The sequence below is a fragment of the Homo sapiens genome, chromosome 1 (assembly GCF_000001405.40).
Source record: "Homo sapiens chromosome 1, GRCh38.p14 Primary Assembly".
Lineage (NCBI taxonomy): Eukaryota > Metazoa > Chordata > Mammalia > Primates > Hominidae > Homo > Homo sapiens.
Genome location: NC_000001.11, coordinates 62,159,203 through 62,173,119, shown reverse-complemented (window position 1 = coordinate 62,173,119; position 13,917 = coordinate 62,159,203). Strand labels below are relative to the sequence as shown.

Below are 13,917 nucleotides of genomic sequence, written 5' to 3'. Positions count from 1 at the left end.
TGATTTCGATCTCCTGATCTCATGATCTGCTCGCCTCGGCCTCCCAAAGTGCTGGGATTACAGGCGTGAGCCACCGTGCCCGGCCTCTGCTAGCATTTTCTAAGTGTATCCTATAATAGCAATCTTACTTAGAGTACTCAAAATGATAAATTCTAGCAACAAGTCTCCTTCAGAGTGCAGACATTGGAAAGGAGCAGGATATGGGCAGGGTGGGGGCGGGGGGGCACCCGAGGACTGAAATCCATGGCCAAACCCTGAAACCCTCACATCTGTATCTTGTTGCTCAATGTCCAGGCCAGGCAAATGGATCTAACTGGCCAATGGAAAAGCTGGGATTAGAAGGCAATGGAACCTGGTCATAGTCAGAGACAAAGCACCAACAGGTATGAGGATCACGTCCACCTTCCCGTACTGTCAGTTAATAACCTGGCTGGGGTTGAAACTGACCTTCTGAGGCTCTGGCCACACTGGAGGTCAGGAATGCTTGCACTACAGCCAGGCCTTTTCTGCCTTCCCTCCCCTCCTGTCTGGTTCCTACTGAGGACTCAGCTAAATGAACATGTTTTTCTCCATTGGTCTGGATGGTTCCAGAGACAATCAGCTGCAGTGCTACAGTGGAAAGTTGGAAGGAAGAGAGTGAGTTTGGGAGGATGTGGCCCAAGCCTGGACTGACTTCATTTCTAGCCTATGAAGATGATTAAACAGCGACTTAGGGTCTAAAGACCAGTACCTTCCAGGTAGCTCTTTAGGTCTGGAATTCTCAGCTCTGCATTCCCTCTCTCAAGGTCTCATCTCTTCCGGAAGAGTTAGTTGGTTATCTGATGGGATAGAAAATCTGAATATTGGGCCAGGTGCTGGTGGCTCACGCCTGTAATCCCAGCACTTTGGGAGGCTGAGGCCCCTGAGGTCGGGAGTTCGAGACCAGCCTGACCAACATGGAGAAACCCTATCTCTACTAAAAATACAAAATTAGCCGGGCATGGTGGTGCATGCCTGTAATCCCAGCTACTCGGGAGGCTGAGGCAGGAGAATCGCTTGAACCCAGGAGGCGGAGGTTGCAGTGAGCAGAAGTCGTGCCATTGCACTTCAGCGTAGGCAACAAGAGCGAAAGACTCCATCTCAAAAAAAAAAAAAAAAAAAGCAAAAAGGTCTTATAGGGAAAAGAGAGATCAGACTGTTAGTGTGTCTATGTAGAAAGGGAAGATATAAGAAATTTCATTTTGACCTTACCCTGAACAATTGCTTTGCCCTGAGATGCTGTTAATCTGTAACTTTGCCCCAACCTTAAGCTCACAAAAACCTGTGTTGTATGAAATCAAGGTTTAAGGGATCTAGGGCTGTGCAGAATGTGCCTTGTTAACAAAATGTTTACAAGCAGTATGCTTGGTAAAAGTCATCGCCATTCTCTAGTCTCGATAAACCAGGGGCACAATGCACTGCGGAAAGCCGCAGAGACCTCTGCCCTGGAAGGTTGGGTATTGTCCAAGGTTTCTCCCCATGTGATAGTCTGAAATATGGCCTCGTGGGATGAGAAAGATCTGACCATCCCCCAGCCCGACACTCGTAAAGGGTCTGTGCTGAGGTGGATTAGTAAAAGAGGAAAGCCTCTTATAGTTGAGATAGAGGAAGGCCACTGTCTCCTGCCTTTTCCCTGGGAACTGAATGTCTCGGTATAAAACCCGATGGTACATTTGTTCAATTCTGAGATAGGAGAAAAACCACCCTATGGCGGGAAGCGAGACATGTTGGCAGCAATGCTGCTTTGTTATTCTTTACTCCACTGAGATGTTTGGGCAGAGGGAAACATCAATCTAGCCTACTTGCACATCCAGGCATAGTACCTCCCTTTGAACTTAATTATGACACAGATTCTTCTGCTCACATGTTTTGTTGCTGACCTTCTCCCTATTATCACCCTGCTCTCCTACCACATTCTTCTTGCTGAGATAGTGAAAATAATAATCAATAAAAACTGAGGGAACTCAGAGACCGGTGCCGGTGCAGGTCTTTGGTATGCTGAGCGCCGGTCCCCTGGGCTCACTTTTCTTTCTCTATACTTTGACTCTGTGTCTTACTTTTCTCAGTCTCTCGTCCCACCCAACTAGAAATACCCACAGGTGTGGAGGGACTGGCCACCCCTTCAAGTCTGAATGTTGTTTGCCTGGGAGTGAAATTTCCTGTAACTCCTTGAGGAGCTTTAAAAAAAAAAATACCGGTTCTTAGATTTCTCCCTTTCTCCCCCTACTCTGGGGTGTGCTTGGGCATTGAGCCTTTAAAATATCCCCAGGTGATTTGAATGAATAGCCCAGGTTAAGAACCACTGCCCTAAAAAGAGCAGCAGGTTTGTGCTATTTCTTTTTTTTTTTTTTGAGACCGAGTCTCACTCTGTCATCCAGGCTGGAGTGCAGTGGTGCAATCTCAGCTCACTGGAACCTCTGCCTTCCGGGTTCAAGATCCTCCTGCCTCAGCTTCCCGAATAGCTGGGATTTACAGGCGCCCCCAAGCCCGGCTAATTTTTGTATTTTTAGTACAGACGAGGTTTCACCATGTTGGCCTGGCGGGTCTGAAACTCCTGACCTCAAGTGATCCACCCGCCTCGGCCCCAAAGTGCTGAGATTACAGGCATGAGCCACCGCACCCTGTCAGGTTTGTGCTTTTTGGACAGGTGGGGCTGTGTGTTGTACCTGTCTGCTAACAAATGTTCATACACCTGGGCATGGTGGCTCATAACTGTAATCCTGGCACTTTGGGAGGTTGAGTGGGAGGATCGCTTGAGGCCAGGAGTTTTAGACCAGCCTGAGCAACATAGTAAGACCTCGTCTCTACAAAAAATTTTAAAAAGCCCACTGTGGTGGTGTGTACCTGTAGTCCTAGCTACTCAGCAGGCTGAGGCAGGAGTGTTATTTGAGCCAAGGAGGTCGAGGGTGCAATGAATCCTAGTCTCACCACTGCACACTAGCCTGGGTGGCAGAGTGAGACCCTGTTTTAATAAAAAAAAAAGAAAGAAGTTCAGTCTGGGTGTGCTGGCTCACGCCTGTAATCCCAGCACTTTGGGAGGCTGATGTAGGAAGATCACTGGAGCCCAGGAGTTCAAGACCAGCCTGAGCAACATGGCGAAATCCTGTCTCTACTAAAAGTACAAAAAATTTGGTGGGTGTGGTGGCATGCACTTGTAGTTCCAGCTACTGGGGAGGCTGAGGTGGGAGGATCACCTAAGCCTGGGAGGTCAAGGCTGTGGTGAGCCATGATCGCGCCACTGCACTCCAGCCCAAGCAATAGAGTGAGACCCTGTCTCAAGAAAAAAAAAAAGTTCGTACAGGTGCAGACTCAGTCTGAGACTGGTTCTAACAGGTAAAATACCTCCAGTGGCAAGGCAGCAAGGAAGGAGCCTTGTGTTTCTTTCTGCCTTTAGCCACTGGAGGCAGAAAAGAACTCGGCAATTTGTGAATGACCACAGACTGGAAAAAAAGGGGAGTGTTCTCCAGGCTTTCAAAGTTTAGTGTTTAGAATCACCAGAAGAGCTTGTTAAAACTCAGATTTTTTGGCCCTACCCCAGAGATTCTGATGCAGTTGGTCTAGGCTAGGGCATACATTTGCACCTCTCCTAGGTGATGCTGATGATGGTGGTCTGCAGTCACATCTTGAGCAGCAGTGCTGTCTATGCCAATGGATAGTGTGCGCAAAGGCCTAAGGGTGTGAGAGTCCGGCTTATCCTGGGATAAGTGCTTAGTGAGACGAGAGTTAACACGACTGCTGGAGGTTAAGGTGGAAGCTAAATTATGAAGAGCCTAACATCCATGCTGAGTTTAGACTTGACCCTGAGTCCACTGAGAAGCCACCTAATTAGGTATACAAATACTTAGGGTCCTTGGGTGGTGGGGTGGCAGAGGCAAGATCTCAAGCCATCTGCTCCTGAGGGTTCTGGGATGGTAGAAGTGATGATGGTGACTGCACCACAGTTGTGGACACCAGAGGGGGCGGGAGGCTGGAAAGGGGTTGTAAACAAGGATAGTGGACACTTCTGCACTTTCCCTAAGGCAAGGCCGTCCCTAGAGGGGTCTGTTCAAGGTCTCATGATGTCTGATGCTTGATCTGTGAATTTGGAGGGTGTTTTTGGATGAGATCAATGTTCCTTTTTTTGTTTGCTTTGTTTGTTGTTGAGATAGGGTCTCGATCTTTCTCCCAGGCTGGGGTACAGTGGCGCCATCTCAGATCACTGCAGCTTCTGCCTCCTGGGCTCAAGTGATCCTCCCACCCTCAGCCTCTGGAGTAGCTGGGACTTCGGGCACGTGCCACCATGCCCAGCTGTGAAACATTCTTCACAGAAAATTATCTTCTGGGTCTTGAGCCTGCTGGCCCACAGTGTAGATTTTGGACTTGCCCACATCCGTAACTGCAAAAGCTAATTCCTTATGATAAATCTTTCTGAATACATACAAATCCTCTCGGTTCAGTTTCTCTGGAGAACACTAACTAATACAATGTTGGACAGGAAGTTTCTGCTCTCAGTCTTTAAGAACAGGTGAATCTTATTCCTCATGGCATGGGGGCCACTGGAGTATGTTTCTTTTCTTTTTGGGGGGAGTGGGAGAGGAGGAACAGGGTCTCACTCTGTTGCCCAGGCTGGAGTGCAGTGTGTGATCATCGCTTACTGCAGCCTCGACTTCCAGGCTCAAGCGATCCTCTCACCTCAGCCTCCAAAGTAGGTGGGGCTGCAGGTGCGTGCCACTGTGCCAGGCTGATTTTTTAAGTAATTTATTATTTTTCAGATAGGGGCCTTACTGTGTCACCCAGGCTGTAGTGCACGATCAAGGCTCACTGCAGCCTCAATATCCCTGGGCTGAGGTGATTCTACCACCTTAGCCTCCGGAGTAGCTGGGACTACAGGTGTGCCACCAGGCCCAGCTCATTTTTGTGTTTTTTGTAGAGACAGGGTCTTGCCATGTTGCCTAAGCTGGTCTCAAACTCCTGTGCTCAAGCAATCCGTCCACCTCAGTCTCCCAAAGTGTTGGGATTACACATGTGAGCTACTGAGCCCAGCCTAATTTACTTTTTGTGGAGATCAGGTCTCACTATGTTGCCCTAGCTGATCTCGAACTCCTGGGTTCAAGTGATCCTCCACTTTAGCCTCCCTGGACTGTTTTCAGACAGCTATCCTGAAGTTCCCCAAAGAGTAACACATGGCTCTGGGGTTGAGAGGAGTTGAATGATGGAGTCCCTTTAAGACATTACCGTTTCTTCTGTTCTCCTGGGAGAGTAATGCTGGGGGCATGCCCAGTAAAGCCATTAGGCAGGAGGAGCCATTGAAACACCTCATCTGTCATCAACTATGTCTATCTAGAGAAGAAGAAGGTTTAAACCATGAGGGGGGAGGGTATCCAGAGTGCCTGGCCTTGGAAATTCTTCCCAGGATGTGGAGATATACGGTGAGTGGATAGACTAGGTCTTCTTTGTCTACATCCAAAAGATGTGTCCTTTTTTCATTTGTTTGTTTTCTTCTACTCTTTATTTTAATCTTTTTTAAATCTTGTGCTTGTATTGTGGAACCAAATCTTGTGGTTGTGTTGAGGGAAAACTGAAATAAACTTACAAATTCAGGCTGTGCACACACATGTTTATAGTGGCTTTATTCCTAATTGCCAAAACTTGGAAGCAACCAAAATGTTCTTTAGTAGGTAAATGGATAAACTGTGGTACATCCACACAACGGAGTATAACTCAGTGCTAAAAAGAAATCAGCTATCAAGTCATGAAAAGACATGGAAGACGGGCTGGGTGCCGTGACTCACGCCTGTAATCCCAGCATTTTGGGAGGCCGAGGCAGGTGGATCACCTGAGGCCAGGAGTTCATCACCAGCCTGGCCAACATGGCAAAACTCCGTCTCTACTAGAAATACAAAAATTAGTTGGGTGTGGTTGCGCACGCCTGTAATCCCAGCTACTCAGGAGGCTGAGGTAGGAGAATCGCTTGAACCTGAGAGGCGGAGGTTGCAGTGAGCAAAGATTGTGCCACTGCACTCTAGCCTCTGAGACAGAGAGAGACTCCATCTCAAAAAAAAAAAAAAAAATTGGTTTCCATGGTTGGGAAGGGGGTTGGAGAAGAATAGGGAGCACACAAAGGACTTTTAGGGCAGTGGAAATACTCCATATACCTTTATGGTAGGCACATATCATATATTTGTCCAAACCCATAGGATGTACATCACCAAGATTCAACCCTCAGGTACTCTATGGAGTTTGGGTGAGAATGATGTGTCAATATAGGTTCATTCACTGTAGCAAATGTACCATTCTGGTGGAGGATGTTGATAATGGGAGAGGCTGTGTGAGTGAGGGCACAGGTATGTGGGAAAGCTCTGCACCTTCCTCGCAATTTTGCTGTTAACTTAAAACTGCCTTTTGAAATTTTTTCGCAGACAGGGTCTTACTTTGTGACCCAGGCTGAAGTGCAGTGGTGCAAACACAGCTCACCATAGCCTCAACCTACCAGGCTCAAGCAATCCTCCCACCTCAGCCTCCCGAGTAGCTGAGACTATAGGCACAGGCCATCATGCCTGGCTAATTTTTGTATTTTTTGTAGAGATGGGGTTTCACCATGTTAGCCAAGCTGGTCTCAAACTCCTGGGCTCAAGTGATCCTCCCACCTCGGCCTCCCAAAGTGTTGAGATTACAGGTGTGAGCCACCGTGCCTGGCCAAAACTGCCCTTAAAAATAGTCTTAACACAGCGAGAGCCCCATCTCTACAAAAAGTTTAAAAAAAAAAAAAAAAAAAATTAGCCAGACGTGGTGTCGCACACCTGTAGTCCCAGCCAGTTGGAGAACTGAGGTGGGAGGGTCACTGGAGACGGGGAGTTTGAGGCCACAGTGAGCCGTGATTGCATCACTGCACTCCAGCCTGGGTGACAGAGTGAGACCCTGACTCAAAAGAGGAAAAAAAAGCTCTCGAGAATATTTCGAACTAATTTAGTAGCCATGTGTGAGTACTCTACCGTAGTTTGCTAAGTTGGTGAATTCCCACTAAGGTTTATTGGAAAACTCTTAGGACTGCAAGCTAGTGGGGGACTGGGATAGTCACTTCCTTTCTCTGGCACGCGTCTCCCACTTGTAAAATGGGAGGAGTGGTGTAGCAGGCAGGACCGACTCCCAGTTCTGAGGTTGCCTCCATTTCAAAAAAACTGATTCTAGAAGGAGGATCAGATACATGTTTGTTCCTGTATAATTTTGCCAAGCATAGGTCCTGATACCCAACAGCAATCTCTCAGGGACCCAAGACCAAAGCAACTTTCTTGCTTCCTCCTTCACATGACTGGAAATGGATATGCTGCTCAGGCAAGGCAGGGGTGAGAGTCTTTTATACACCGTCAAACACACACACACACATGACTCTTCCAAATGTCAGTTTATCTTGGGATTGTGTAGAGAGTGAAATGTTTTTTTTTTATCTTTACTTAAATATAGAGCATCTGAAGATTGAAAGTCAAGCTGTCAAAAACTTAACATTTGCACTAGGCTGGCATACAACTGAGACTATAACCTAAATTTAAATTTTTGTGTTAAAAAAAAAACTCACTGTTCTGGTTGACTTTAATAGAAAAAATATAAATAAAACATAAAATTAAGAAAATTGGGTGCAAAAAATTTTAGTTGTGCCAGACAAGGTGGCGTGCACTTGCAGTCTCAATTACACAGGATGTTGAAGTGCAAGGATTGCTTGAGCCCAGGAGTTCAAGGCCAGCCTGGGCAACATAGCAAGATCCTTGTCTTAAAAAAAAAAAGAACAAGAAAAGAAAAAAGGAAAGGAAAGAAGGAAGGAAGGAAAGAAAGAATTAAGACTTACCTATGGTTCAGGAAACAACTGTTTCATGTGCTTACTTTGAAACTTGAAAACCAATGCTGTAAGGAAAGGAAATGTTGCTGAATCTCCCATGAAAAGAAGGCTGTAGGCCAGGCACAGTGACTCACGCCTGTAATCCTAGCACTTTTGGAGCCTGAGGTGGGCAGATCACAAGGTCAGGAGTTCCAGACCAGCCTGGCCAATATGGTGAAACCCTGTCTCTACTAAAAATTCAAAAATTAGCTGGGCATGGTGGCACGTGACTGTAGTCCCAGTTACTTAGGAGGCTAGACAGGAGAACTGCTTGAACCCGGGAGGCAGAGGTTGCAGTAAGCCAAGATCACACCACTGCACTCCAGCCTGGGCGACAGAGCAAATCTCAAAAAAAGAAAAAGAAATGGCTGTCGTTCTGATCCTGATAATGAGTATTCCTGAAGAGGGGATATCTTCCCTAGGTCACCTGGGCAGGTGTGGCTGTGAACAGGGGTTGGGGAAGGATGCCAACCACTGAGTCAAATGGGCTCTCAATTCTAGAAGTTAGGAGAAACCAGGGACCTTATTGGTAGAGCGCTCCCTTAAGTGTAAAATGCTTACATGAGATTGAATAATCATATTGTGAGACATTTATTCCCAGTAGCATCAAGGATACAGGACTTTTGCTTCCGCATGAAGGATAAGGTGCTCTGGGAATTGCCCTCCCACTGTAGTAAACAACTAGAAAAATGGACATAATATATGAAACATTTTTAGACATCAGATAACAGGCAGCATAGGATTTTGATCCCTGCAAGAAGGAAAACAAGGTAAATTCTACAACTGTCCCAGTTTTATCCCTGGAGGCAGTATCCATGTCACACTCAGGAAGGGGAAACTCACACAGAGTCCACGAGTAGAGGAGAAAGAGATTCACGTTCAGGGAGGCCAGCCAAGTTGGCTAGAACATGTAGTGTCTGGAAAGGAGGGAGCTGTAGGTTGACAGAGCCATGGAGATCGCCTCTTTGTCAAATACTCACCTGCACATGCATGAAAGGGCCAGGAAAGAAACATTAGAGGTTGGCTGGGCATGGCGGCATGGATCCTGAGCCACTGCGCCCATCCTAATTTTTGTATTTTTAGTAGAGACAGGGTTTTGCCATGTTGGCCAGGCTGGTCTTGAACTCCTGACCTAGGTGATCCATCTGCCTCGGCCTCCTAACGTGTTGGGATTACAGGCGTGAGCCACCATGGATTCCAGATTTTAACAGGACACCAAAAAACCTTGTGAAAAGTTGGACTTTTTTTTTTTTTCTATTAGGGAAGAAAATGCTGAAGAAAAAGCACAATTAGATCCAGAAAGTACACTTTTTCATATATAATAAAACTCCATTTGCTCTGTAGGCAACTACATTTATTTAGAATCTTTGGAAATATCTTACACATACAAACATTCAGCAGTTTTATTCTTCCTGGCTTACTTCCCTCTCATGCTAATTCCGATTAGTGATATCATTACTATACTGAAATGGCCCAAATGATGAGGCCAAATATAAGAGCACTACTTCTTTCACAAATTTCCATCTTCATAGCCTCTCAGCTTGTCAGTAAGTTCTGAGGCAAAAATATCTTTTTGGAAAGGCAATTACGTATTAGTCATGTGAGCGGAGACAGAACCGATTATGACAAGTACTAGTTCTATCAATTTAGTGCAGTAAGAAGTATAAAGCATCATAATTCCTTCATCAATATACTTTTACTAGCACGACCTAAAAGGATAATGTATAAAGAAACACCACAACAATGTATTATCTCAAAATGTGTATTTAATGGCCATTCCATCAAAATAAAGCAGAATCCCATTTCAAAACTATTATATGTATATATATTTTTAAGGTGCATTTTCAAGTTTTATTTGGGTTTCATTTCTTCTTGGCTTGCCTGAGGTGTTCTTGCAGGTACAATTAACACAAAATGTTCTGAGGGTAGTAGCTTTTCATGCACTGAAGAATGAGATCCTAACAACATTGCACATCTTGGATACATTAGAAATTTTAAAAGCCATGTGTAATTTCAGAAAACTTAATACCGTCATGAAAGACATTTTCAACACAAAATTTAGGCACTCTATACTTTGGAATAGCCATAAAATATTCCAACAAGAGTTAATGCACTTTGTGATTACATCTACTCAAAGATAATTCTCAATTAAAATCTATACTTATTAAATAACATTTTAAATTAGAGCCCATTAAATTTTGATAATTACTGTGAAATATTTGCAGCATTGTGTTGTAGTTAAATAATGCTGAACTACTTCTATTACTGACTCTAGTACTCATCCTTCATGGTTTTTTTTCTTTTTCGAGACAGAGTCTTGCTCTGTCACCCAGGCTGGAGTGGAGTGGCACGAACTTGGCTCACTGCAACCTCCACCTCCCAGGTTCAAGCAATTTTCCTGCTTCAACCTCCGGAGTAGCTGGGATTACAGGCGCCTGCCACTGCACCCAGCTAATTTTTGTATTTTTAGTAGAGACAGGGTTTCACCATATTGGCCAGGCTGGTCTCGAACTCCTGACCTCATGATTCGCCTGCCCTGGCCTCCCAAAGTGCTGGGATTACAGGCGTGAGCCACTGCACCCGGCCATGGTACTTTTAAAAACAGAGGACTCTATAGCATCCACCAGTAAGCATCTCTCCCTTTTTCTTGCTAATATATGAATAAGATTGCCAATAATCAACTTAAAGGTATTCTTGTATTTTCTGCTGTAGTTGATTTCTTAGCATGCAAAACTTCAGCAAATGGGAGTCTCCTTGGAGATCAGGAAACATCAGCCATGCATTTTCATCACATATTCCTAGGCTCAATTCATTTGCTCACTTTGCAGCTAAGTATGTTGCTCCCTTAGGTTCTTGCAGTCCATGCTGCTGGCCTGACTACTATGGAGGTAAAGGGAAATATAATCAAATATGTCACCCACTTTGCATAAGGCCAAGGCCACCTAGACCTTGTCTGACTTGAGACAAAACTTGCTGATCTCTGCCGTGTGGTTCTGGGGCTTCTACCTCCTTTTCCTAAGACCGAGGGGTGGGAATGATGCCTGCCAACTGAAATGCCATTAATTCCAGGTGATCTTCCTGGACTTGAATGTAATTTAGCACTGTTAGAATTCAGAACATGTATGCTAGTTGTTCCTGCTGAGAATAAGGTTCATTTGCTCAGTGGTATGCATTTATATGGCACAGAAAACAATTAGTCTTTCAGAATTTTTAGAAGATTACAGTCTGTAAATTGACTCATCAAAATCACCAATGACTAGCATATAAAGATCTATCCAGAGAAATGAATTTGAGACTTATTTGACCATAAGTCATACAGAAGACAGCACAGTAATTTCCCATAGGAGAATCTGGTATTTCATCTTGGGGATCACTGGTAAATTAATTACACTGCTAATGTTTTCTTGCTTACTTGAAGAGACAATTAGCATAAGTAAATCATGAGTGAGATGACAAGTTGCTTAACATTTGTTTCTGTCCATTGGATGAGATCTGAGGTTGCTGTTAAGCCTCGGTGTGAGTAGGGGATAGGGAGAGAAGAGTATAAGGAAAGAGAAGTTAACTCCAGTTTTGGTAAATATAATCAGAACCAGTTGGTTAAAATCAGAATACTGGGCTGGGCGCAGTGGCTCACGCCTGGAATCCCAGCACTTTGGGAGGCCAAGGCAGGCAGATCACCTGAGGTCAGAAGTTCAAGACCAGCCTGGCCCACATGGGGAAGCTCCATCTCTACTAAAAAAACAAAAATAAACCCAGTGTGGTGATGCATGCCTGTAATCCCAGCTACTCGGGAGGCTGAGGCAGGAGAATCGCTCCAACCTGGGAGGCCGAGGTTGCAGTGAGCCAAGATTGCGCCATTGCACTCCAGCCTGGGTGACAGAGTGAGACTCCGTCTCAAAAAAAAAAAAAAAAAAAAAAAAAGAAATCGGAACACTGAAATTAAATGCAAAACAGGTAGACTCATTTAAGTTTTAGAAATCAACCTCGCCAACAGGTGACAGGAACTGGGAAACATTAGGAGATGATTGTTGATTTGGGAAATTCACATGAAACCTCAGCCATTTCTCCTGAGCAGAGAGGGCAAGAAATAAGAATGAAGGTGCATTTTAGTTGAGGGTGCTTTTCATACCCACTCAGAACTTCATCTGCCTGTGGATATTCTAAACAACAACATCTATCTTGTGATCAGGCCCGAGGCTCATGACAGCACAGTTAAGGTTACAGTCCCTCTCTGGTGTTTTAGAATGGCGACTGCTTGCTCATGAGTAACACCTTCCAGGGTCTCGCCATTAACAGCTAAAATCTGATCCCCTCGTTTTAATCGGCCGTCATCTGCAGCTGCTCCCTACAAACAAGAAACATTTCAGTTTAATCCAGGGTAAAACACAGTTTATATTAAATTGATATTAAAACCTCTAACATCTGTCTGGTGTGCATATTAAAAGAGTAACTTTAAAAACTACCAATTAAGTTTTTTCTAGGTAATGTTTTAAATTAGGAAAAAAGTAAGATATGCTGTTTGAATAATAATGGTTGAATAGTAACTATAATTATGGATAATCTAAATAACATACTAGTAGAAATGTACTGATACACTGCTTTTAATACAAGTAGAACCTTATTTCACTATTTAGTATTAAATGGAATTGGATGTCATATCATGTCCTATTCATGAAAACGTAATATACAGAAAAAGGCAGATAGAACTGAATCTGGTGTTAGTCTTACTGCAAATACCACCATTATACAGAGTTCCCATTGCATTATTAAGCTATCAGCACTGTGATCTGTCAAAAATAAGTGTAGTCTTTAAATGGGTGAATTGTATGGTAAGTGAATTATATCTCAATAAAGCTGTTATCTACATATAAATATATACGAGTGTAGCATCTCTAAAATTTTGTAATATATTCAAAACCTTCCACTTTATCTTTGATCATCTAAATAGGTTTCTAAATGACTACTTTTATTATATACTCAGTCATGCATAGTTCCTCAAAACGGCACAAAGCCAGTGAAACTTCAGGGTTTTTTCACTCTAAAGCTGCATATCTAAAAATGCCACGATATTACTAGAAACATTTTGGACTGGTAAGGGAAGAAAAGACCTTAAAAAATGATTTACAGGAGGTTTCACCATCTGTAGGGGTAACTGTTTCAGTCCCTTGAAAAGTCAGTGCCAGAAGAATCCTCTAAATGAGGTCAAACTTCAGTGGGCAACCAAAGCCCACAGGCACTTGGCCCTCGACCGACTCAATCAGAAGCCGAGCTAGGAGGCACTAACGCTCCTGAGATCTGTGTCCATGTGCAGCTTGGAGGTCCTGAGGTGCTGGGGAATCAGACAGGTTTTCTAAACCGTGAGAATGGTGGAATTTCTAAATGAATGTGCAATAAAGAATATTCAAAACCTGCTGGGTGCAGTGGCTCATGCCTGTAATCCCAGCACTTTGGGAATCTCAGGCGAGAGGATTGCTTGAGCTCAGGAGTTTGAGACCAGCCTGGGCAACATGGTGAAACTGTCTCTACAAAAAATTAGCCAGGCGTGGTGGCTTATGCCTGTGGTCCCAGCTCCTCGGGAGGCTGAGGCAGGAGGATCACTTGAACCTGCAGAGGTTGGAGTGAGCTGAGATAGTGCCACTGCACTCCAGACTGGGTGACAGAGTGAGCTCTGTCTCAGGAAAAAAAAAAAAAAAAAAAGTATTCGAAATCAGGTCTATACTGTGGGCAAAATATCAAAACTAAATATTAATAACTTGCAACTGGCTGGACATGGTGGCTCATGCCTGTAATCCCAGCACTTTGGGTGGTCAAGGCAGGAGGATCACCTGAAATCAGGAGTTCAAGATCAGACTGGCCAACATGGTGAAATCCTGTCTCTACTAAAAATACAAAAATTAGCTGGATGTGATGGCGCATGCCTGTAATCCCAGCTACTTGGGAGGCTGAGGCTGGAGAATCACTTGAACCTGGGAGGCGGAGGTTGCAGTGAGCTGAGATCATCCCATTGCACTCAGCCTGGGCAAAAAGAGTAAACTCTGTCTCAAAAATAA

General features: G+C 44.4%; 1 protein-coding gene across 17 annotated transcripts in view; it reads right to left on the bottom strand.

Annotated features, from left to right (window-relative positions):
• Positions 1-9,204: 9,204 nt before the first annotated feature.
• Positions 9,205-13,917, bottom strand: part of PATJ (PATJ crumbs cell polarity complex component) — a 421,436-nt gene continuing 416,723 nt past the window's right edge. For all 17 annotated transcript variants that reach the window (XM_011540462.4, XM_011540467.4, XM_011540464.4 and 14 more), the window contains one exon: positions 9,205-12,212. In XM_011540462.4, the coding sequence (XP_011538764.1) occupies positions 12,066-12,212 (147 nt within the window). In that variant the 3' untranslated portion in view covers positions 9,205-12,065. The remainder of the gene's footprint in view (positions 12,213-13,917) is intronic.